General features: G+C 40.2%; 1 protein-coding gene across 9 annotated transcripts in view; it reads left to right on the top strand.

Moving 5' to 3' along the window:
- DPYS (dihydropyrimidinase) overlaps positions 1-23,141 on the top strand; it is an 87,625-nt gene that overhangs the window by 6,238 nt on the left and 58,246 nt on the right. For 7 of the 9 annotated variants that reach the window (NM_001385.3, XM_005250818.4, XM_047421415.1 and 4 more), the window contains exons 2-4: positions 9,414-9,572; positions 13,315-13,494; positions 16,381-16,570. In NM_001385.3, coding sequence (NP_001376.1) covers positions 9,414-9,572; positions 13,315-13,494; positions 16,381-16,570 — 529 coding nt within the window. The remainder of the gene's footprint in view (positions 1-9,413; positions 9,573-13,314; positions 13,495-16,380; positions 16,571-23,141) is intronic. The other 2 variants (XM_047421418.1, XM_006716518.4) reach the window with 1 other exon arrangement.

Here is a 23,141-nt window from a genome sequence, read left to right as displayed (position 1 = left end):
TTTAATGATTACAAACTTAACCTTCAGACTCATCAGAGGAAGCACAAAAAAACTCAAAGATTAACTGAAACCACTTGATGCTAACTAAAGCTTTGGTTCTGTTAAGGGTGTTGTGTATTAGGAATCCTTTCACTGACTTAGATTCCAAGACTTGCCTTATTTCAGCTTTGATAGTCCATAGTTCATGCTTTTCACCTCCACCCCTTGTTTTCTCTCTCACATGTCTGGCCTGGGTATTTTCAATGTCTCTATTAGTCTGTTCTCACACTGCTATAAAGAAGTATTTGAGACTGGGTAATTTATAAAGAAAAGAGGTTCAATTGACTCACAGTTTCACAGGCTGTACAGGAGGCATGACCGGGGAGGCCTCGGGAAACTTACAATCATGTTAGAAGGTGAAGGGGAAGCAAGCACATATTCACATGGTGGCAGGAGAGAGAGCAAAGGGGGAAGTGCTGCACCCTTTTAAACAACCAGATCTCATGAGAACTCACTCATGAGATCGACAAGGGGGAAATATGCCCCCATGATTCAATCACCTCCCACATGGTCACTCCCCCAACATTGGGGATTACAATTCAACTTGAGATTTGGGTGGGGACACAGAGCCAAACCATAAAATGTCTGAGAGAGGTAGTCTAGAAATCAAGGTTTCCATGATGCTTCTCTCAGGGAGGAAAGTCTTTTCCTTTACCCTCTTATGTTTAGTAATTGGGGGCCTGCAAATTAAACTGACAAAAGAGAGATTCACAAAAGAAAAGACAAATTAAAAAAATTCACATACATATATAGGAATTCACAGAAAAATGTGACTCAACGAGGGGGCTAGATTTGGGGGGTTATACACCATCTTAACAGAACAAGGGAAGGCGGAGCAGGCACTTACAAAAAAACAACTTCTTAATAGGGGATGGTCACAGGGAGAAAAGACACATAGGAAAACAAATGACTTTTAGAAAAGATAAATGGGCCCTTAGAAGGAGATATGGGACATATGACAGTTTTGTGACAGTGTCTATTTAGGTATGGTGTCAGCTTCCAAGTCTCTAGTGATAAGTCAATCTTCCCTGGTTGTGAAACTCCTAGAGAGGGGATTTATGATAATTGAGGTCTTTGGGGAGGCTTTGCTTTATAGCAGATTTGGGACTTAAGGAAAAACAAAAACAAACAAACAAAAAAACACCTATTCTCAAATATCTGGAGCTCAAAATAATATTTATGCTACAGTGGTATATTCTAGAGTCTCAACTGCCATCTAATATGGAATAATCCCAAACTAAGGATTTTTCAAGCTGGCTGTTAGGTTCCATTAATTCAGTCAACAAGTATTTCTTGGAAACCCACTAAGTGCCAGGCATTGTGGCTGGTGCAGAGGTTATAGAGATGAAAACCATGGTATTTGTTCTCAGCGGTAAACAGACTAGAGGTATATGGGTCTCTAATCTGTCTGGACTTTGATAATAAATTTTATATAGTAAGTTTGGGCTTTATAGACTTTGCTTTGATGATTGTGACAAATTTTTAGTAAACATGTGAGGTCAGTGACATCTGGCATTTTCCCTGTTGCTGAGTCATCAATCACAGTGGCCTGCATCACCTGGCTGTGTTTCTGACCTGCTTACTTGGCTGACAAGTGAGCCTGGGCAACTGGCCACCATCTACACCTCAACACTGCTTTGTGCTTTCTTCTCACACGTCAAGTAACAAGTTGAGAAAGGACACTTCAATTTTTTCTGTTATGTTTCATTGCATCTAACAGGGAGACTGTATTATATAGTGATAGTCATGGATGAGTTCCTGAGCCTGAGGATCTTTTCACACAGAAAAGACCTTAACATTCACCTGAAAGTAAAACAAAATGTAATCATTTTTAGAAGTCAAGAAAGTATTTGAGGCATAGATACAGAAATAAACTAAAATTGTGTTTGTTAAAAGTCTTAGTTAACACTGCTTTGGTAATGAACTTTGGAAAAACTGAGCATTCAGCCTTCAGATGTGGTCTGCATTGACACTCCATATTAACATGTTCATAGAAGGATCTAGGAAACTACAGGGCCAGGACTAGCAATATTTTTGGGAAATGACATTTCACACTAACACGCAACTTACACAGCTTTCCCAGTTTGCTATTGGAAAAGTGAACCATCATAATTATTCCATCTCGTGACTTTTAGGGAAATTCACTGGTCCTTCTCTTCCTTTCCCCTTCAAACATTTAGAGAATATTCATGTGCCAGGTACTGTAATGGGCACAGAATATACAGAGATGAACCAACATTGATTAAATCAGAATCTCTGGGGAATGGGGTAAACGCTTTCTATATGATTCCTGCATGATCCAGGGCTAAGAATTGCTTGGACTCAGCACAGGAATGGGTAGAGGAGGGAAGAACATGAATGATGTCTCTCTCTGAAATGGGAAAGTGCTCAGGTCTCCTAAGAGAGGCAGGGACAGTGTCAGTGGAGTGGAGTGAATGAGTTGAGAGGGAATAGCTCAATAGACAGCTTTGGAGAAAGCTAAAGTTCAGGTCATGCAGGACCTTATGGGTTGGGCAACAATTGTTTTTTCTCCATCTTAAGAGCAAAGAGAAGTCAATAAAAGATTGGAAGTGGCAGATATGGCTGGGCAGACATATAGTAGGTATACCTCCTACCTTGGAGTTGTGTTCACATTGTTGCTCTGAGGATTTTCTGGGGACTGAACTCCGGTTGCTCACAGTGGTAACCTACTCATTAACACACCCTCTTTATGGCCCTCTTCCTTTCTGTTTTCCCTCCCTTCTCATTTCTTCACTGTGCTAGTCCAGTGGGAAGACGAAGGTGGCACCGGGCAGTAGAGGTGAAGACGCAGGAGTAGAGAGGCTCCTGGAGTTCATAGAAGACAGCCTCCAGGGTCTTGTTGATGGATTGGATTTGGGGATACAGGGAAGAAGAGAAGTAGGTGTCAAGAGTAACTCTTAAGTTTCTGGTGGGTTGGATGATAGTGTGATTAATATTCCAAACTTAGGGAGGCAAGAAGCCAAGCATGGACAGGAATGTGCAAGACATCTTTACAAAGCTGAGTGTGCTTCTTGATTTGGGACAGACGTTGGGACCATGAAACTTGTTTTTGTAGGTTTCAGTGATTGTGAGAGAGCTAGAAATTCAGCCACGAACTTTTCTCATTAAGGCTCAAACATACCGTTGGGTTTCTTTTTGTTTTACTTGGGTGGTGCAGGTTCTGTGATGGATTTTAGTGAAACAAAGTCACTTGTTTTAGGATAAGCTTAGAAATAAGAATTTGGTGGCACCATAAAAGGGAAGAAAATGCATTTGGATACAGTAGTGTACCCTGAATCACAGTTTCAATTTCTCCAGTTACCTGAGGTCAACTGTAGTCCAAAAAACTTAAGTGGAAAATTCCAGAAATAAACAATCATAAGTTTTAAATTGTACAACGTCCTGAGTAGTGTGATGAAACCTCAAGACATCCTGCTCCATCCTGCCTGGGACTGGGACGTGAGTCCTCCCTATGTCCAGCACATTCATGCTATAGACGCTCCCTGCCCGTCAGTCACTTAGTAGTTGGCTCGGTTATCAGGTCAACTGTTGCAATATTGCAGTGCTTGTGGCCACCCACAAGTCACCCTTATTTTACTTCATAATGGCCCCAAAGTGCAAGAGTGATGCTGGCTAATTGTTCTATTTTTTATTAGTTATTGCTGTTAGTCTCTTACTGTGCCCAGTAATAAATTAAACTTTATCACAGGTATGTACATATAGGAAAAAACATAGCATATGTAGGGTTCAATACTATCCTCAGTTTCAGGCATCCACTGGAGGTCTTGGAATGTATCCCTCTTGGATAAGGGATAACTCCTGTACTTTCAGTAATGATTTACAATGGAATATTCTTAAACAAAATCTTGTGTAATATTATGACCCACTGTTAGAGTTTATCTCAATTTCTGTTCCACTGCATTTCTTCTGGAAGCAGTGTGGGCTCCCCTGTCCCCCAAAAGAGTTTTTTAGATAAACTGGAAGGTTTACAAGGAAGAACAGTGAAAGTAATTAGGAGCTGAAATAATTGATTTGTGAGCCAGGTTAGAAAAGCTAAATCCATTTTGTTTGGCTAACTGACAAATAAAAATGGAAATAAGTCAATCAGGAATAAAAGCAAAGGAAATAACTAGGCTTCATGTAGCTATCTGAGAGAAATTGGCCCCAGCCATCCTTTCCCATTCAATACAGCTTCTCCAAACTCATTCCCAGTCTGGGGTTGAGGAGAGGGAGATAAGAATGGGGATAAGAAACAGAACAAGAAGAAACAAAAGATAAGTGGTTGTTCCTCTCCTGTCTCTTTCCTGCTCCTAGTTAATTAGGAAGGTGGAGCATTTGTGATCAACCCTCATTTAAGAGCTTTCAAATTGTAGCCCCGAGAATTTTCATTTGCTTTAGTTTTAGAAGAGTGGCCCTTTGACTATCATATCTTCAGTCTGGTAAGAAGACCATCAACAGCTCTGTCTATTTAATTTATACACCATTTATGGTCATGTGTCACTTAATAGCAGGAATACATTCTGAGAAATGTGTCATTAGGCAAATTTGTGGTTGTGAGACCATCATAGTGTGTACTTACACAAACCTAGATGGTATAGCCTACTACACGCCTAGGCTATATGCTATGGCCTGTGGCTCCTCGGCTACAAACCTGTTCAGTAGTTACTCTACTGAATACCATAGGCAATGACAATAATAACTGTGTATCTAAACATTGCTAAACATAGAAAAGGTACAGTACAAATATGGTACTGTGATCTTATGGGGCCACCGTCATACATGTGGTACTGTCATTGATCAAAACACCATTATGGTACATGGCTGTACATATATATGCCCTGTGTCATATATTTATATGTAAAATATTTATTTTTCATATAAAATTATGATTTTAATAGAAAGTTTAGCAAATATTGAAAATAAAATTGAAGTAGGGGAAAATTAAAATGACCTGGAATTATACCACCTAGAACCAGCCACTGTAAACATTTTGTCTTGGCTCAGTGTGGTTTTGTGTTCGTGCAGAGTGTTGGTATGTTCCGAAGCATGTTATTGTGGCTCATGTTGTCATGTCTGGCTTCTCGCTCCCTGGCCATTTCGGCCAGTCTCGGGACCTCTATGGCATCCTCTAATAGGTCACTCCTACATTTTCTCCTAGTCTTGTATGCTGTTTGGAAACAGGTCTGTATGTCTTCCTGTCTGCAAATGCCACCAGGTGGACACGTGCCCAAGCACCTCACTCTCAGGATGTTCCCCACTTCATTCACGTCCCTCCTAAGTGCAGATCATGCTCCTCCTCTGTCCACTCGCCTGCCATCGTCTCACTCATCCTAGTCAAATCAGCTCACCTGACTCCCTTCGCAACTGAAAACAATCATTGCCCTGTTTTCCTCCTCTGGGACCACCACTTTATATGGTCCCCAGTCACCTTAATTCTGCCCTTTAACATTTTCTGCTGAGCTGCTACCTCTTCCCCCCAGATCTTCTTCCTCAGAGCGTCTCTTCATGCAGTTCACGTTTCCCAGAGGCTCAGGCTCTAGGGCCTGATGACTCAGATTCCAACCCTGCCATTGCTCCTTGCTGGCTATGAGACTTTGGCCAAGTTATTGACGGTTCTGTATTAAGTTTTTTTTTCTTTATTTTACTTTAAGTTCTGGGATACATGTGCAGAATGTACAGGTTTGTTACATAGGTATACATGTGCCATGGTGGTTTGCTGCACCCATCAGCCCGTCATCTGGGTTTTCTGTATTCAGTATTCACCACCCTAAAATGGAGTTAACCATAGTACCTACTGTGGAGCTCTTGAGATGGTTAAAATATGCAAAACATTGGAATAGTTCCTAGAGCATCATGGTGCACAAAAACAGCATCACAGCACTTGCTGTGAGTCAGATATCATTATACTTAATTGGAAACTTCCACGTGTAGGTCCTAATCCTGATTGAAATCCAAGCCGTCTCTAATCTCTGAGTTGATCTTTCTCTCCTCTGAATTCCCAGTCATCTTTTCTCTGTACCTCTTCTAGGGAGCTTAGCAAATTTTACCTCCCTTTAGCAATTTTTATACTACTGTTTATTTTAAAAGTAGACTTGCTACCTGTTATTACAATCTAACTATTTTATATTTATTTATTCATATTTCTGCTTCTCCTATAAACACCCTGAGGGCAGAATCATTGCCTAATTATTTGTGTGATCTCCCACTCCCTTCACTACATACAGTGGCTTGGATGTGGTAGAACTTTTCTGGTTTTGTGGAGATAGAATCCACCTACAATACAATTCGGCCATTTAAAGTGTATAGGACAATGGCTTTTAGTATGTTCACAGAATTGTGCAAGCATCACCACAATCAATTGTAGAATACTTTTTGTTTTGTTTGTTTGTTTTGAGATGGAGTTTCACTCTTGTCACCCAGGCTGGAGTGCAATGGCATGATCTCGGCTCACCGCAACCTCTGCCTCATGGGTTCAAGCAATTCTCCTGCCTCAGCCTCCCTAGTAGCTGGGATTATAGGCACCCGCCACCATGCCCAGCTAATTTTTGTATTTTTAGTAGAGATGGGGTTTCACCATGTTGGCCAGGCTTGTCTTGAACTCCTGACCTCAGGTGATCCACCTGCTTCAGGTTCCCAAAGTGCTGGGATTACAGGCGTCAGCCACCATGCCCAGCCAGAACACTTTTGATACCCCCAAAAGAAACACCATACCCTTTAGCTATCACCTTGGACTCTCCTCATCCCACCCAGCCCCAGACAACCACTATTCCACTTGCTCTATGGATTTGCCTCTTCTGGACATTTCATATAAATAGAATCACACAATATATTATCTTTGTGACTAGCTTTTCTCACTTAGCATCATATTTTCAAACTTCACCCATGTCATAGCGTATGTCAGTACTTCATTTCCTTTTATGGTAAAATACTATCCCATTGTATGAATCTATTAGATTTTATTTATCCATTCATGAGTCGATGGACATTTGTATTGTTTCTACTTTTTGGCTACCATGGATCATGCTGCTGTGAATATTCATGTGCAAGTCTTTACGAGAACATGTTTTCATTTCTCTTGGCTATAGGCCTAGGAGTGGAATTGCTTGGTCTTGTGGTAACTCTATCTTTAACTGTGAGAGGAACTCCAAATTGTTTTCCAAAGTGGCTGTACCATTTTGCATTCCCACCAGCTGTGTATCTAGTTTCTCCACATCCTGCGTGTGGTAGATTTTAATAGGGAAAGAATACAAAGAATAGTTCTTTAAGCTTGATTTTCTAGTTCAGTAGATGCTAAAAGAGGACTTTCTTCTAATGCTTTAATTAACAGCAGATTCTATTAGAAAAATGTCCTTCATCCTCAAGGGATGTCTTGTCATACTGGGAAGACACTTTTAGAAGGAAGAAGGTAAGAAGATTAATCTGTATTCAAATAAAAATACAAAGCCTGAGGAATTTTTTTCCTAGTATTTTCATTACATCAATAGGGATTTCTTAAGAAATGCAAATATGTATTGTTTTGCCACAGATAAGGCAGTGTTATTTAAAGGTGGAGACAACATACAGGATCCTGTATAAAAAGTGAAATTTTTGAGAGCAAAAAGAATTGGAGTGGGGCCAAGTAAGTTAAGGAAAAATAAAAATCTATTGAAGTAAGCAAGAAAAGTGGGAGTAGAATAGAGCTGGCATATCAGGTAGGACATGAGGGCATCCGGTGTATCTGGAAGCTGTTGGGGGAGGGTGGTGGGGGCCGGAAAGAGAGACTGAGGCACTGCCCCCTCCTGTGTTGTAACATGACCACATTTCTGGTGATGAGGTAACACGATATAGGGAAGATGGAAAAATTCCTAATCCTGAAATAGTAGTGCTCAACCCATAAAGCACTTACCATGAATCAAACTCTGTACTAAGCACTTTATTTTTATTTATTTGTTTATTTTTGAGACAGGGTCTCTCTCTGTTGCCCAGGCTGGCATGCAGTGGTGCAATCATAGCTCACTGCAGCCTCAAACTCCCGGGCTCAAGTGGTCCTTCCATCTCAGTCTACCAAGTAGCTAGGACTGCAGGCGCATGCCACCATGCCTGGCTAATTTTACATTTTTGTAGAGACGGGGTTTTCACCATGTTGCCCAGGCTAGTCTTGAACTCCTGGGCTCAAGCTCTCCTCCCGTCTCAGCCTCCTAGAGTGCTGAGATTACAGGCATGGCCAAGGCGCCTGGACCTAAGCACTCTGTATACATTACTTCAGTTTAATCCTCCTATCAAGCCTATGGTTTAGGTACAATTGTCCTCACTTTGCAGATGGCGAATTAAAGGCCACAGAGGTTAAGAAATTGCTGAGATTACCACAGCGAATAAGTGTTGATGCTGAGCTTTGTACCCTGGTGTCCGTGAGCCTCCCAGGTCCGTGGTCTAAGCCACTGTGCAACATCCCTCCTGTCTCTGTTTTCTTCACCTACATTGTTTGAATACAACAATTAAAAACAATTAACCATCTTGTGATTTTAGTTTAAATGAAATTGATTTAAATAATTAGTCAAAGGCATGTGATTTAGTAACAGTTTTTAAATTAGTAGTGATGTAATGTAATATAATGTGCTAAGGGGTATATTGCAAGTTGAGGCAGAATGCAGGGATTTATAGACCATGTTATGAAGATTCCAGTTTGTGCAGAGGCAGGGAGAAGCACTCAGTTTTCATCTTTGGAGTCAAGTGGTTACATTTTTGCTTTGGAAATATCTCTCTCGTTGCAATGAGGGGTTTGTATTGGAGGGAGTGGGAGATGAAGATCAATCAGGACTCTTACAATAGTCAAGATGAGGAATGAGATGGATCTGAACTAAGACCAGGGTGGTAGCAGTGGACAGAAGGACAGGTGCAAATCTAAGAAAGATAAAGGGGTCACCATTTGGTTTCTGGGAATGGAGGCAAGACCGGAACCATGTAAGTCTCCCAGGATTCTGAGAGTACCACAGGGCAGTTAGAGATACAGTTCATCAGGATGGATTCTAATAAAATGGAATTTTATAATAATGAATATCACTTCTCAAGAAAAAATATGTGCATTTTTTCCACTTTTCCATTTTGATTTTTCTTTACAATCCTCACTCTGTTTTCTTTGAGTCAAATCCATTTTCATCTTATCAGATATGACATTCTTTTTGCAGAAGCAATTCCAGCAGGTTTAATACTTTAAACTTAATTTATGAAAAGTCTATTCATGCCCTTCTGGGTCATTTAAACAGGCAGCATCTTTTTGCAATTTCCTGGACCCATCGAGTTTGCCCAAGTGCTTACAAATGCACATTGTTCAAGATGATAAATGACTTAACTAGGAAATTGATAGCTAATTTGTTGAAAACCTCTTATGATTCCAGGCTGCTCTCTCAGGAGGCACCACCATGATTATTGATTTCGCCATTCCTCAGAAAGGTGGCTCCCTCATTGAGGCCTTCGAGACCTGGCGAAGCTGGGCTGATCCCAAAGTTTGCTGCGACTACAGCCTTCATGTGGCAGTGACGTGGTGGAGTGACCAGGTAAAGCACCTGGATTTCAATGTGTTCCCATTGTCCTCTTGTCCTCACTCTGCACAAGAGCAAGAAACTGGTGACATTGATTGCTTCCTAGACAACAGGAGGACAGAACTGGCAGGAAGACTTTTCATTGCATATTCTTTTGTATCTTTTGAATTTTTAATTCTGTGAAGTATTACCAATTTTAAAAACTAAATTAAAAAAATCATATAAAGACAATAGGATAAATCTTTTATGCTCATTCATAACAGCTTCTCCTAATATTTAATCAATGAATCATCAATGCTTTAAGTGTAATGTTTAATATACTGATTTCTCTTTTTCTTAAATTCAATATCCCCCGAATCTTTTAAACAGTATTTTCCCACAGGTTAGAACTTCAATAAAAAATGTTTAATTTCTCAAAAATAAAATCAAGGAAATTCTAAATTTAGAATTCTCTAGAACTAGAAGCCTGCCTTCCCACTCATGAGCCTTCTTTAGAGAGGAAGGGACAGGCCTGGACTGTTTCCAGAGTCTTCTCCAAGCTGTATCTTGACCGAGTGATCTTCCTACTCTGCTAATGTTACCACACCTGGTCAGATGATTTCATAATAGAGCTTAAAACAACCTTCCATGTCCACTAATTGCCCAGGCCATGGCAGAAATAACATGATTTAGATAGAAAAGACAGTTCTGAGAGATGTTAAAATATGTTGATTTCCTCCCACATAAATGTGTGTGTGAATTTTGGAAGAAACTTTTACTTGGAATTTAAATTGCAACATGTTTTTCCACATTGCACTTAATTCAGCAATCTTTTTACCAGAAAGAGTTCACCATTAGGACATTATTTGAGTATCTTATAATCTCACATCCCCCACAAACTCGGGCTTTAGACAGCAAGTTAATCTAAAACAAATAATCAATCTTTAACAGGTAGTTCAGCAAACATAATAGCAAGGTTTATAGTCCACAGCTAACGTTAGTTTTTCTCCAAAAATGCCATTTTTAGTGATGCATCTGAACTCTTATGCTTTTAGGATCGTCCCTCCTTTTCTTCCCTTCCCTCCCCTCCCTTCTCTTCTTCTTTTCCCTCCCTCCCTCCCTTCCTCCCTTCCTTCTTTCTTTTCTTCTCTTCCCTCCCTCCCTTCCTTCCTTCTCTTCATTTTCCTATTCTCCTATTTTATAAGATGGAGCAAAGGTGATGGTGTTTGTCCTTATCAGTGCTTCTCACACTTTAGTATACAAAGAGTCACCTGGTAAACCTTGCTAAAATGCAGATTGCAGATTCTGTTCAGGGGGGTTATTCGTTTGCTAGGGCTGCTGTAACCCTAGCAAACAGAATGTACGACAAACAGAATGGCTTAAACAACAGACATTTACTGCCTCACAGTTGTGGAGGCCAGAAGTCTGAGATTTAGGTGTCAGCAGGGTTGGTTCCTTCTGAGGGCTCTGAGGGAGAACCTGTTCCTTTCCTCTCTCCTAACTTCTGGAAGTTTGCTGACAACCTTTGGCATTCCTTGTCTTGTAGAAGCATCATCCCAATCTCTGCCTTCATCTTCATATGATGTTCTCCCCGTGGAGGTCTGCATCCCAGTTTCCACTTGATATAAGGGCAGCAGTTACATTGGATAAAGCGCACATGCTCGTGTCCTCATCTTAACTAATTACATCTGCAAGGACTCTATTTCCAAACAAGGGGTTAGGACTTCAACATATGAATTTTTGGCTCACCCAAGTCAACCCATAGCAGTAGGTTAGGAGCAGGTGGGACCTGAGATTCTGCATTTCTAGCAAGCAACCAGGTGACGCTGCTGATGCTGGTTCAGTTGCCACACTTTTGGAGGAGGAAGGCTGAAGCTAATATGCTTGCAAGTTGTATAATGAGATTCTTCCATGGATGTGGATGGCAGGGATGATTAATGAGGGCTCTTCTACTCAGGGAGCAAAAGATATTTCATGTAAGCAATGCAGATCATAATCCCCTTTGGAAGCCCATTATGTGAATATGCTAACAATGTTTCAAGCATTTTTTTTTCTGACTATAAAACTAATGTACTCATTGTAAAAAATTAGAAACTGTTAGGGGGAACAAATGAGGTGCACTGTCCCATGTTCTGTCCCTTGCTGTTGTCACTTAACCTAACTTGGAGCACATTCCATCACTTGTCCACTCTCAATATTTTGGTGCTTTTTTCTAGATTAATTAAGTAGCAATTAATTTATTCAATAAATAGTTATTGAGTGGGCACTATGCACCAGGCACTGTTCTAGGATACAGCAGTGGACAAGCCTTACAAGGCCCCTTCTCTCATGGGGCTGAAATCCTGGTGGGGCCGACAGGTGATCAGCAAGTAAGGACTGCTATGCCGGGTGATAAGCACCATCAAGAAAAGGGAGGGACATTTCCAAGGGAATAAACAGTGGTAGCAATGAGTAAATTCACGTGTAATATTATCATTCTTAAACTTTGCTGACTCAATAGAATTACGCTGCTTTATTTTGCACTTTTTAGTTAGTAGGAAATTTCTTGCATGTGTTTTTAGTCATTTATTACTCCATGAATTGTTGCCAACATTTTTCAACATGTTTTTCTTATCAAGTTGAAAGAACTTTTATTAGCTAAGAGCAATAATCCTATGCTTGTTACACTTTTCATTGTGTGTGTGTGTATGTGTGGGTGGGTGGGTGTGGGTGTGTTTTAACATATAGAAGTTCAAACAGTCTTATTTGGTCAAATCTATGAGTTTTTCCTTTGGAATTTTTGATCCTTATTGAGACTTGAATCTGACCTACAAAAGCAATTATTGAGGCTGGGCGCGGAGGCTCATGCCTGTAATTCCAGCACTTTGGGAGGCCAAGGAGGGCAGATGACTTGAGGTCGGGAATGCAAGACCAGCCTGGCCAACATGGTGAAACCCCATCCCTACTAAAAATACAAAAATTAGCTGGGCATGGTGGTGCACGCCTGTAATCCCAGCTACTCAGGAGGCTGAGGCAGGAGAATCACTTGAATCTGGGAGGTGGAGGTTGCAGTGAACCAAGATCATGCCACTGCACTCCAGCCTGGGCAACAGAGCAAGACTCTGTCTCAAAAAAAAAAAAAAAAAGAGCAATTGTTGCGATAGCTTTGATACTAACTTGCCCCTGACCCCTGGCAACCCTGAAGGCCTCTGAGCTTCCAACGGATCCAGAGTGGAGTCTCCAGCTGTCACCTCCTAGGAGCTGCCAATGGGTCCCATGCCACCACGGCTGGCTCTACAGCTAAACCATGAGTTTGTGCTTTCTTGGGCATGCCCGGGTCCATCTGCATCTTCTACTTTCTCCTTCTAAGAACTCCACCCATGGCTTTCAGATTGGAACCTGAATCCTTACCTCACATTAACGTTCATTCCTGCTGGATCCATGATTGCTTCTGTTGCTGCCAACATGGCTTCAAGGTCATTTTTTAGAATAATTTCCTCAAATCGGGAGATAGATGCAGAGAATTTTACATCCAAGTACAGAAATAAAGCACTTTGGGAAAAGCTATTCACTTTTTCATGATTTAAAAGTATGAGAGCAGCAGCAGTTTATCAGATGAAATGGGGTATAACCTGGGAAAAAGATCAAGGCCTTAATTGCATTTTTGTGGAACTAAACTATTGTCCTTATTTTCCTTATTTTACTTAGTTCTCTTCCGAATGCAACGTTTTAGAGAAGGTTGAAATTATCATTTAAATTAGAGTAACATATTGTTGTTATGGTTGCTGCTTCCTTTTAGGTTAAAGAAGAAATGAAAATCCTTGTGCAAGATAAAGGTGTTAACTCTTTCAAGATGTTTATGGCCTATAAAGATCTGTACATGGTGACAGACCTGGAGCTGTACGAAGCCTTCTCTCGGTGCAAGGAAATTGGAGCAATTGCCCAGGTCCATGCGGAAAATGGAGACTTAATTGCAGAGGTACGCATTTGCATTCCAAAGCTTCTACAGAAATGACAGCAGCCATAACATAAGGTGAAGATGATTGGGCCTACATAGGTAAACTCATTTAATGCATTGGAAGATGAGAAATCCAGAAATGGATTTTCCGTGGCTCGGAAACGGATTTTCTGTGGCTCAGAAACTCCCAACTCCATTTCCTTGAGTCCCTGCTCTCAGCTTTATGCAGGTGGTATATGCACTAGAATGAGGATTTCCCCTTTGCAAACCAGCTCTTAGATCTCAAACATGTGCAGTTATGAAAACACAAATACTTTTCTTTGTGTCCTCCAGCATACTTTTGGCTTTGTTGTTGTTTTTCAGAAGCTTAGGCTGCTGGTTCAGAATACCAAAGCGTGGTCAACATCAGTGTCATCTGATGACTTAAGCAGTGTATTAGGTAGCTGTTTAAAGCCCTGCTCTTTTCAGAAACTGGATATTAAAATGTGCTCTGGAGGAAACTAGATGATATTTATTTCTCATGTTAGTCCCATTATTAATGCCTGAAGGATACACCATCTGCAAGATTTAAAGAGCTGTCTCTTGCCCTTTATATTAGCTGACTTTTTTTTTAATCTCCTTAGGCTCAGCTCCCATTAAAGTGAGTGAGATTGAGGCTCAGTGGCCACAAGGCAGAGAGGAATAATGAGAAGGGAGCGTGAGCTGTAAAAACAAAACAAAACAAAAAACAGACCAGGGTTTAAATTGGACTTCTGCTTTATAGTTTCATGACAACAGGAAGTATTTTTACCACTCTAAGTCTGGACTGCATGCTCTTTTTGTAAGGAAGAAATAACATTTTGAAGAAGAAAGATAACAGGTCCAATACCATTTAGTGGGTTGGATTGGGGAGCAAGTGAAGAGGATTATTCCGTAATAAAAGTAAAACTGATTACATAGTATGACAGTGAGTCACTTCAACAAGGATCCACAGTATTTTTATTTTGTTTGTCTGAATCAATATTGTCTTAAATATAGATATTGCTTTTCAAAGAATGTGATTAGAAATAACTTCATATCTTTTTCACCTTTTCTTTTTAAATTTTTTTATTTTTGTGGGGTACATAGTAGTGTATATATTTATGAGGTGCATGAGATATTTTGATACAAGCTTGCAATGCATAAGAATCACATCATGGAAAATTGGGTATCCATCCCCTCAAGCATTTACCCTTTGTGTTACAAACAATCCAATTATATTATTTTAGTTATTTTAAATGGTGCAATTATTTTTTATTTGTTGTTATTATTATTATTTTTTGAGATGGAGTCCCGCTCTGTTGCCTAGGCTGGAGTGCAGTGGTGCGATCTCAGCTCACTGCCAGCTCCACCTCCCGGGTTCACACCATTCTCCTGCCTCAGCCTCCCGAGTAGCTGGGACTACAGGTGCCCGCCACCACGCCCGGCTAATTGTTTGTATTTTTAGTAGAGACAGGGTTTCCCCGTGTTAGCCAGGATGGTCTCGATCTCCTGACCTTGTGATCTGCCCACCTCAGCCTCCCAAAGTGCTCGGATTACAGGCGTGAGCCACCGCGCCCGGCCAAAAGGTGCAATTATTGACTATAGTGCCCCTGTTGTGCTATCAAGTACTAGATCTTATTCATTCTTTCTTTTTTTTTGTTTTACACACAAACCATCCCTACCTTCCCCCCTCTCCCCACCGCCATCCCTCCCCACTAACCTTCCCAGCCTCTAGTAACCATCCTTCTATTCTGTATCTCCATGAGTTTAATTGTTTTAATTTTTAGATCCCACAAATAAGTGAGAACATGCAATGTTTGTCTTTCTGTGTCTGGCTTATTTCATTTAGCATAATGACCTCCAGTTCCATCCATGTTGTTGCAAATGACTGGATCTCATTCTTTTTTATGGCAGAATAGTACTCCCTTGTGTATATGTAACACATTTTCTTTATCTATTCATCTGCTGATGGGCACTTAGGTTGCTTCCAGATCTTGGCTGTAGTGAACAGTGCAGCAACAAATATGGGAATGCAGGTATATCTCTTTGATATACTGATTTTCCTTTCTTTTGCATATATGTCCAGCAGTGGGGTTGCTGGATCATATGGTAGCTCTGTTTTTAGTCTTTTGAAGAACTTCCAAACTATTCTCCAGAGCAGTTTTATTAATTTACCTTCCCACCAACAGCGTACATAGGTTCCCTTTTCTCCACATCCTTACCAGCAATTGTTATTGCCTGTCTTTTTAATATAAGCCATTTTAACTGGGGTGAGATGATATCTCAGTGTAGTTTTGATGTGCATTTCTCTGATGATCAGTGATGTTGAGCACCTTTTCATATGCCTGTTTGCCATTTGTATGTCTTCTTTGAAGAAATCTCTATTCAAATCTTTTGCCCATTTTTAAATCAGATTATTAACTTTTTTTCCTGTAGAGTTGTTTTAGTTTTGTATATATTCTGCTTCTTAATCCCCTGTCAGATGGGTAGTTTGCAAATATTTTTTCCCATTTTGTGGGTTGTTTCTTCACTTTGTTGATTGTTTCCTCTGCTATGCAGAAGCTTTTTAACTTGATGTCATCCCATTTGTCCATTTTTGCTTTGGTTGCTTGTGCTTGCTTTTTCCCCTTTTCAATAAAAAAAAGTGATGGTAAAATATGCATATGGAAAATTAACTTATATGATTAGAATATCAAAATTATTTTTACCAAATATACATGTTATATATATATGTGTTATAGATATATTTACACAAATATGTTCATATACACACACACACAGACACACACACACCCCTATACCTAACAGATCAAAAGCCTGGCATTGCATTTAATTTATGATAAAATAATGATATCTGTCATTAGTAAACCTTCCTTGCACATATACACATTCCTGCTGTCTTTTTAGGGAGCAAAGAAGATGTTGGCTCTGGGGATAACAGGCCCTGAGGGCCACGAGCTGTGCCGCCCAGAGGCAGTGGAGGCAGAGGCCACGCTGAGAGCCATCACCATAGCCAGCGCTGTGAACTGTCCTCTCTACATTGTGCATGTGATGAGCAAGTCTGCAGCTAAGGTGATAGCGGATGCAAGGAGAGATGGTAATTCTCGAATGTAACCTCACTTAGAACTCAGTGTTAGCTGAAGAGAAAAGTCCACGTCTGTAGCCTCTGCTTCAGTTTAGGAGAAAGTGCATGTGGATTTCCACTACTTTTCTTCCTCCCTTTTTATTAGCCTCCTGGTTTCATTTATCCTTATGTGTGTCTGTTTTCCACCACTTTTGTTCATCTTCATCCTTGCCTCTCTACCTTCATGTTTTATTTGTTATTTCTTCTCCATCCTTGCGACCCCAGGACATTTCCTTTAGCCACATGCCCCCACACTCAATGCCACTAGCAGCCACTTTTAAATATGATAGCTAAATGCAAAGCTCTCCGGTTTTTGTTTGTTTGTTTTGTGATGGAGTCTCACTTTGTCGCCCAGGCTGGAGTGCAATGGTGTGATCTCAGCTCACTGCAACCTCCGCCTTCTGGGTTCAAGTGATTCTCCTGCCTCAGCCTCCTGAGTAGCTGGAATTACAGGTGAGCACCACCACACCCAGCTAAATTTTATATTTTTAGTAGAGACGGGGTTTCACCATGTTGGCCAGGCTAGTCTCAAACTCCTGACCTCTAATCATCCACCCGCCTCAGCCTTCCAAAGTGCTGGGATTACAGGTGTGAGCCACCATGCCTAGCCCTCTTTCGTTAATTTTGAAGAAGCTTCCCTATCTCTTAGGCAGCTCCACTACCCTTCCCACTACCTGAATCAGGGCAGTGCAAGGCACCTAGTACATGCTCAATAAATTTCTTTTGAATTGAATTGATTCATCTGACAGCCACTTGGATGTTGGAGCAATTGAAGCAATTATCCAAATGGTATTTTTATGATGGTTATTTTAAGATTTTAAAATCTAAGTTATTTTTACCCCAAACTGCCTAATTGCCTCAGTTCTCTGGTTCAGCCTAGTATGTTCAGCCTAGTATGTAAATACTCATCTTAAAGGAAAGAGAAAATCTCCTATTTTTGATAAGCACTGGGCAAAGAAATGATTTCACTCTTTTGCCAATACTGGTAGAGAAAGGAGGAAAAATAAATAAGGTGCATTTTACTCAAAGACTTTAGTCCCATGGTAGCTTCTGTCATCTCAATTTTAGGAATGCAGATAATCAGAGACAGTGTTATAATTCAACCTTGCTGTTTTTGTTTGTTTTTTATTAAAACAGGCTGTATTTTTGTAAGATTCATTATAAAAATAATGGGTCTCACTCTGTTGCCCAGGCTGGAGTGCAGTGGTACAATCTTGGCTCACTGAAGTCTCTAACTTCCAAGTGATCCTCCCATCTCAGTCTCCCAAGTAGCTGGGACCACAGGCATGTGCCACCATGCCCAGCTAATTTTTAAACTTTTTGTAGAGACAGGGTCTCGCCATGTTGCCCAGGTTAGTCTTGAACTCCTGGGCTCAAGCCATCCTCTCACCTTGGCCTCCCAAAATGTTGGGATTACAAGCATGACCCGCTGCATGGTTTTGGCATGTATATAATTGATACCAAAACAAATTTTGTCAAAATTTCTTCTTGTTGCATTAAGGTTCAGTAATGATTTTGTGCAAGCTGTGTGCACTTTTAAAATGTAATCCATCAACATCTTGCCTTAAGTGTAGGCTTATTTCACCTAGGATTTAATAATATCTTACTAACCAACCATTTCTGATTGCTACTCTCGCATGTAAAAGAATTTCGCCCCTTAAAAAAGAAAATATAAGTACTGCGATTTTAAAGTTATAGGTTTTTCCCACCAGATGGTGCTGTTGCCAACGCTATGAGATGAGTCGGTCTATAATTATTTCCTTTGTTAAGTCGTGTACCGGGTCCATAATGTCAGAATATTATTTAAGGAACAGTGAAATCAGCAGAAATTTTCACTTCTAACCCACCTTCAAGCTCCAATTTTGACTGTTCTGTCAGGAAGCAGTTTCTTGATCTTGGGTATTTGTTTTGCATTGGGATAGAATTCCATTAGGAGCAAAGTAAAAGTCTAGGGAGGGTTTTAGAATACAGAACATAGGCAGAAAACTAGTAAATACAGACATTTTAATTTTATTGTAAATTATTTTAAAATTCAATATTATTTCTTGTATCTGTAAAATATTTACATGGCCCAAGAGTCAAAATTATATATAAAAATGTTCAATGAAGTTTTACTTGCCTTCTCTAGCTCCTTCTTCCCATACAGTATAAGTAATGATTTTTATTAATTTATTTCTGGCCTATCTTTACCATGTTTCTCTTTACCAAATAAGAATATAGTCCTTCTTTCCTACATAAAAGGTAGCATACTATACACCTTGTCTACACATTGCTTTTTTTTCCACTTGAAAATATGTTCTGAAGGTCAGCCCACATTAGATACAGAGATTTTCCTCATTCTTTTTTGTAAGTGCAGGGTATGCTACTGTATTTATTCAACAAGTCCCCTATTGATGGACATCTGGGTTGTTTCCAATCTTTAGCTGTTTCAAGAGAAACCACAGTGATGGCCTTACGCATATGCCATTTCAATTTGTGAAAGACACATTAGTTCTGGAGGTCAGAAGCCTGAAATGGGTCTCACCAGGCCACAGTCAAGGTGTCTGCAGGGCTGCATCCCTTTCTGAGGTCCTAGGAAGCCCTTGCCAGGCCCCTCCAATTACTTGGCTCGTGGCCCCTTCCTCCATCTTCGGCACCAGCCACAATGGGTTGAGATCTTCTCACATCACATTATTTTGACCTCTTTGCCTCTCTCTTTCACTTTAAGGGCCCCTTATATTAAGCCTACCGATTAATTCAGGATAATCTCCCCATTTCAAGGGCCTTAATTTAATCATATCTATTAATCCCTTTGCCATGTAAAGTAACATATTCACAGGCTATGGGGATTAAGATGTGGACATCTGCTGGGCTCCATCTTTCTGCCCACCACAAAATGGGTATCTTGAGGGTAGATTCCTAGAAGTGGGATTGCTGGTTCAAATTGCATATGTAATTTTTGGGACATTGCTCATATTTTCCCCAAGGAATTGTAAACATGAAATATTTAAAATACCTCCCTAAACGTTGTAGTTGAGTCAGACTTACTGTGACAGTATAATACTTGTGAAAATACCCTCATGCGCAGTTGTCAAAGAGGCAAAATTGCTTCAGAATAAAATAGTTTGAAAGATTTCCTACCCCATGCATGTGACCAAGGCATGGGATCAAGCAGGGGCCCAAAGAGGAAGCGTTGGACATAAACTGTGCCCAGCTGTTCACATGGTGACTGCATCAGCAAACCAAAGGACAGATCCCTGGGTAGTACTGTGGGACAAGAGCTGTTGGACCACACTGACCTTTTACAGAAGATGCTGTCTGTACTCATTTATTATCTAACATCATTTCTAAATGTAAAAGAGCAAGATAGATGTAAATAAGAAATCATTCAGTTTTACACATTTATACTATGAAAATCTCCCATCTGTAAATACCATTGCCAGCCCATTCTTTTTTTTGTTTTTTGTTTTATGTTTTTTTTTTGAGACAGGTTCTCACTCTGTCACCCAGGCTGGAGTGCAGTGTCGCGATCTTGGCTCACTGCAACCTCCATCTCCTGGGTTCAAGCGCTTCTCCTGCCTCAGCCTCTCGAGTAGCTGGGATTACAGGCTCCCACTACTATGCCCAGCTAATTTTTTTGTATTTTTAGTAGAGACAGGGTTTCACCATGTTGGCCAGACTGGTCGAGGTGGCTCATGCCTGTAACCCCAGCACTTTGGGAGGCCGGGGCGGGTGGATCACCTGACGTCAGGAGCCCATTCTGTCTTCAAGGGCCTTGACTCTCACAGTGTGGTCCCTAGAATGCAGCCTCCACATTGCTCCTTAGACATGCAGAGCCTTGGGGCCCATCCAGATTCCCTGAATCAGAAAGTGCATTTATAACTAGAATCCCAGGTGATTCATATGCATATGAAAGCCTGAGAATCACGGCTCCAGGAGGCACAAAGGAGATCCAATTATTGATTGCTTCATTGTGGTAGCCTAGAAATATAATGCTATTAAATTTGATTTTATTGTTCAATTGCCAGCTCTATATCCAGAAGAGCGGGATAGTAATGATAACAACTAACAGCTTGTTGAGTGCTTAATATGTGCCTGGCACATAGTAGTATTTTAATCTCTTTTATCTTATTTCAGGTTTTACTATATTTTTATCTTATCAATGTGTTTTAATACACATTGTCTTTTAAAAAATTGTCATAATAATGCTTCATGCTCAATTTTACCACTCTTTTGTGACTGATGAAATTGAGGCTTGGGAGAGATTGGTGAATTAAGCCAAAGATCACTTTATTAGTAAGTGCTAAACTTGGAATTCAAGTCCAAGTCTATGTGACCCCAAAGCCCAAACTTTTTCTGTCACTCTCCACTGTGTTAAAGGAGAAATTGATCTGAAGTTGGGAAAACCTGGATATCAAGTTTGTATTTAATGGGTTTGGGGTTTATTTATTTATTTTTAGAGACAGAGTCTCTCTGTCACCCAGGCTAGAGTGCAGTAGCACAGTCTTAGCTAACTGCCACCTCAAGCTCCTGTGCTCAGATGATCCTCCCAACCTCAGATCCCAAGTAGCTGCGACTACTCATGTAAGCCACCACACCCAGCCAATTTTTAAAATTTTTTTGTAGAAATGAAGTCTCCATTTGTTGTTCAAGCTGGTCTTGAACTCCTGGCCTCAGGCGATCTTCCTGCCTCAGCTTCCCACAGCACTGGGATTACAGGAGCGAGCTACCACGACCCGCTGGCTTTGGTGTTTTAAAATTTGTAATTGTAATTGGTTTTTGGGTTTTGGCATTACATTTACATTTTTTATTTAAGACGTTATCATTTTGCTATTTTTATCATTATTAAAAGATTAATTTTGGGGGTGGAAATGATGAAGTATTAAATGGAAAGTAAGTATCTTCTATCTCCCTCAGCTCATTCTTTAGAGCCAGTGATTTTAAACTTATCTATCTTTAGTTTTTGGTGGTGACCTCTAAAATCCTAAACTATAAGTTTGTAGTGATTTGTAACTTTTGACAGTATCACTTGACTCTCAACTATGAAAAATGAATGACTTAGTTCCTGTAAACTTCTCACGTCCTGAGTTTTGTCAGTAATAAATGTCACTTCAAATGATATATTTAATTTTACGTGTTTTATTTTACCTGTTTTAGGTATTCCTTTTTTTTTTTTTATTTAAGAGGCAGGATCTCACAGGAGATCTTGCAGTGGCAAGAACACAGGTCACTGTAGCCTCAATTTCCTGGGCTCAAGCAATCTTCCTGCCTCAGCCTCCAGGGTGGCTGGGACTATAGGCATGCACCACTGTACATGGCTAATTTTTAAATTTCTTGTAGAGTCGGGATTTCACCATGTTGCCCAGGCTGGTCTCAGGCTAACCTCCCACCATGGCCTCCCACAGAGCTGGGATTAGAGCTGTGAGCCACCACGCCCAGCCTGACATCTCTTCTCTACAGGCTGAAGAAGAAACTTAGAGGCCCTAAGTGCTCTCTCTCTCTCTGCCTCCTCCAGATGTCTACCAGCTGTATTATTATCTTTACACAGACTCTGTAACTCTAATTAGGTCTTCCATGCTTTGTCTATAGGTTAAGTCTAAAATTTAGAACTGTCACAGGGTAAAATTATGGAAATATTCTTCTCTGTAGAAACAATTAGTGAGAAGAGAACTTCAGAGAAATTTATAGCACTAACTTGCAGTGCAAGTTAGTGTTATTCAAATTGACTCTCAGAGAAGCAATTTCCAAGTGTCAAGGTCAAGTGAGTTTTCTTCATTCCAGTAGGACTCAAAAGCATGCCTTATTTTAGTTTGCTACATATTTAGACCATTATTGTCTTGCAAAGTTTCTCGTTTCTCCTGACATTTTTCCAATTAGCTCTTTTTAAAATAGGTTGAGAAAAGAAATATATGCCTTCTTTACCATATCATGAAGAGTTCTAGCTTCTTCATCATACTTTCTATTGAATAGAATCAGCTCTACTTGCAGAGATTCTTTGTGGGAGGAGAATCTGCTGACTTTCCCTTTCATTTTTGATAGCTGCTTGCTAAGCCTGCAGTAGAGATGTCATTCTGGGATAATGAGGTTGGATATACTGATTCCTGGTTTCCATATCTCCCTTTTTCTTGAATTACTTTGAAGATTTTCAGGTAATTTTTAAGGAAAAGTGTGTAAAAGGTAAATTTTCTGATTCCTTGTCTTCACGCTTACTGGGTGATTTGAATGGGCATGGAATTCTTGGTTCTGAAATATTTCCTTCTGAATTATGAAGGCACAGTTTCCTTCTCTGCTGGCATCCAGTGTTACTGAGGAACAGGAAAACCCTATACAATTTCTTGTCTTCTTATCACAAACTTTTCATTATCTGTAAGATTTTTATACTTTCTCTTCATTTTAGATGTCCAGAAATTTCATTGAGACTATTACTGGAAAGGAGTTCCAGTCCAGACCCCAATAGAGGGTTCTTGGATCTTGCTCAAGAAATAATTTAGTTGAGTCCATAAAGTACAGTGAAAGCAACTTTATTAGAGAAGTAAAGAAACAAAAGCATGGCTACTCCATAGAC

The sequence above is a fragment of the Homo sapiens genome, chromosome 8, assembly GCF_000001405.40.
Source record: "Homo sapiens chromosome 8, GRCh38.p14 Primary Assembly".
NCBI lineage: Eukaryota > Metazoa > Chordata > Mammalia > Primates > Hominidae > Homo > Homo sapiens.
This window is presented reverse-complemented; position numbering and strand designations above follow the sequence as displayed.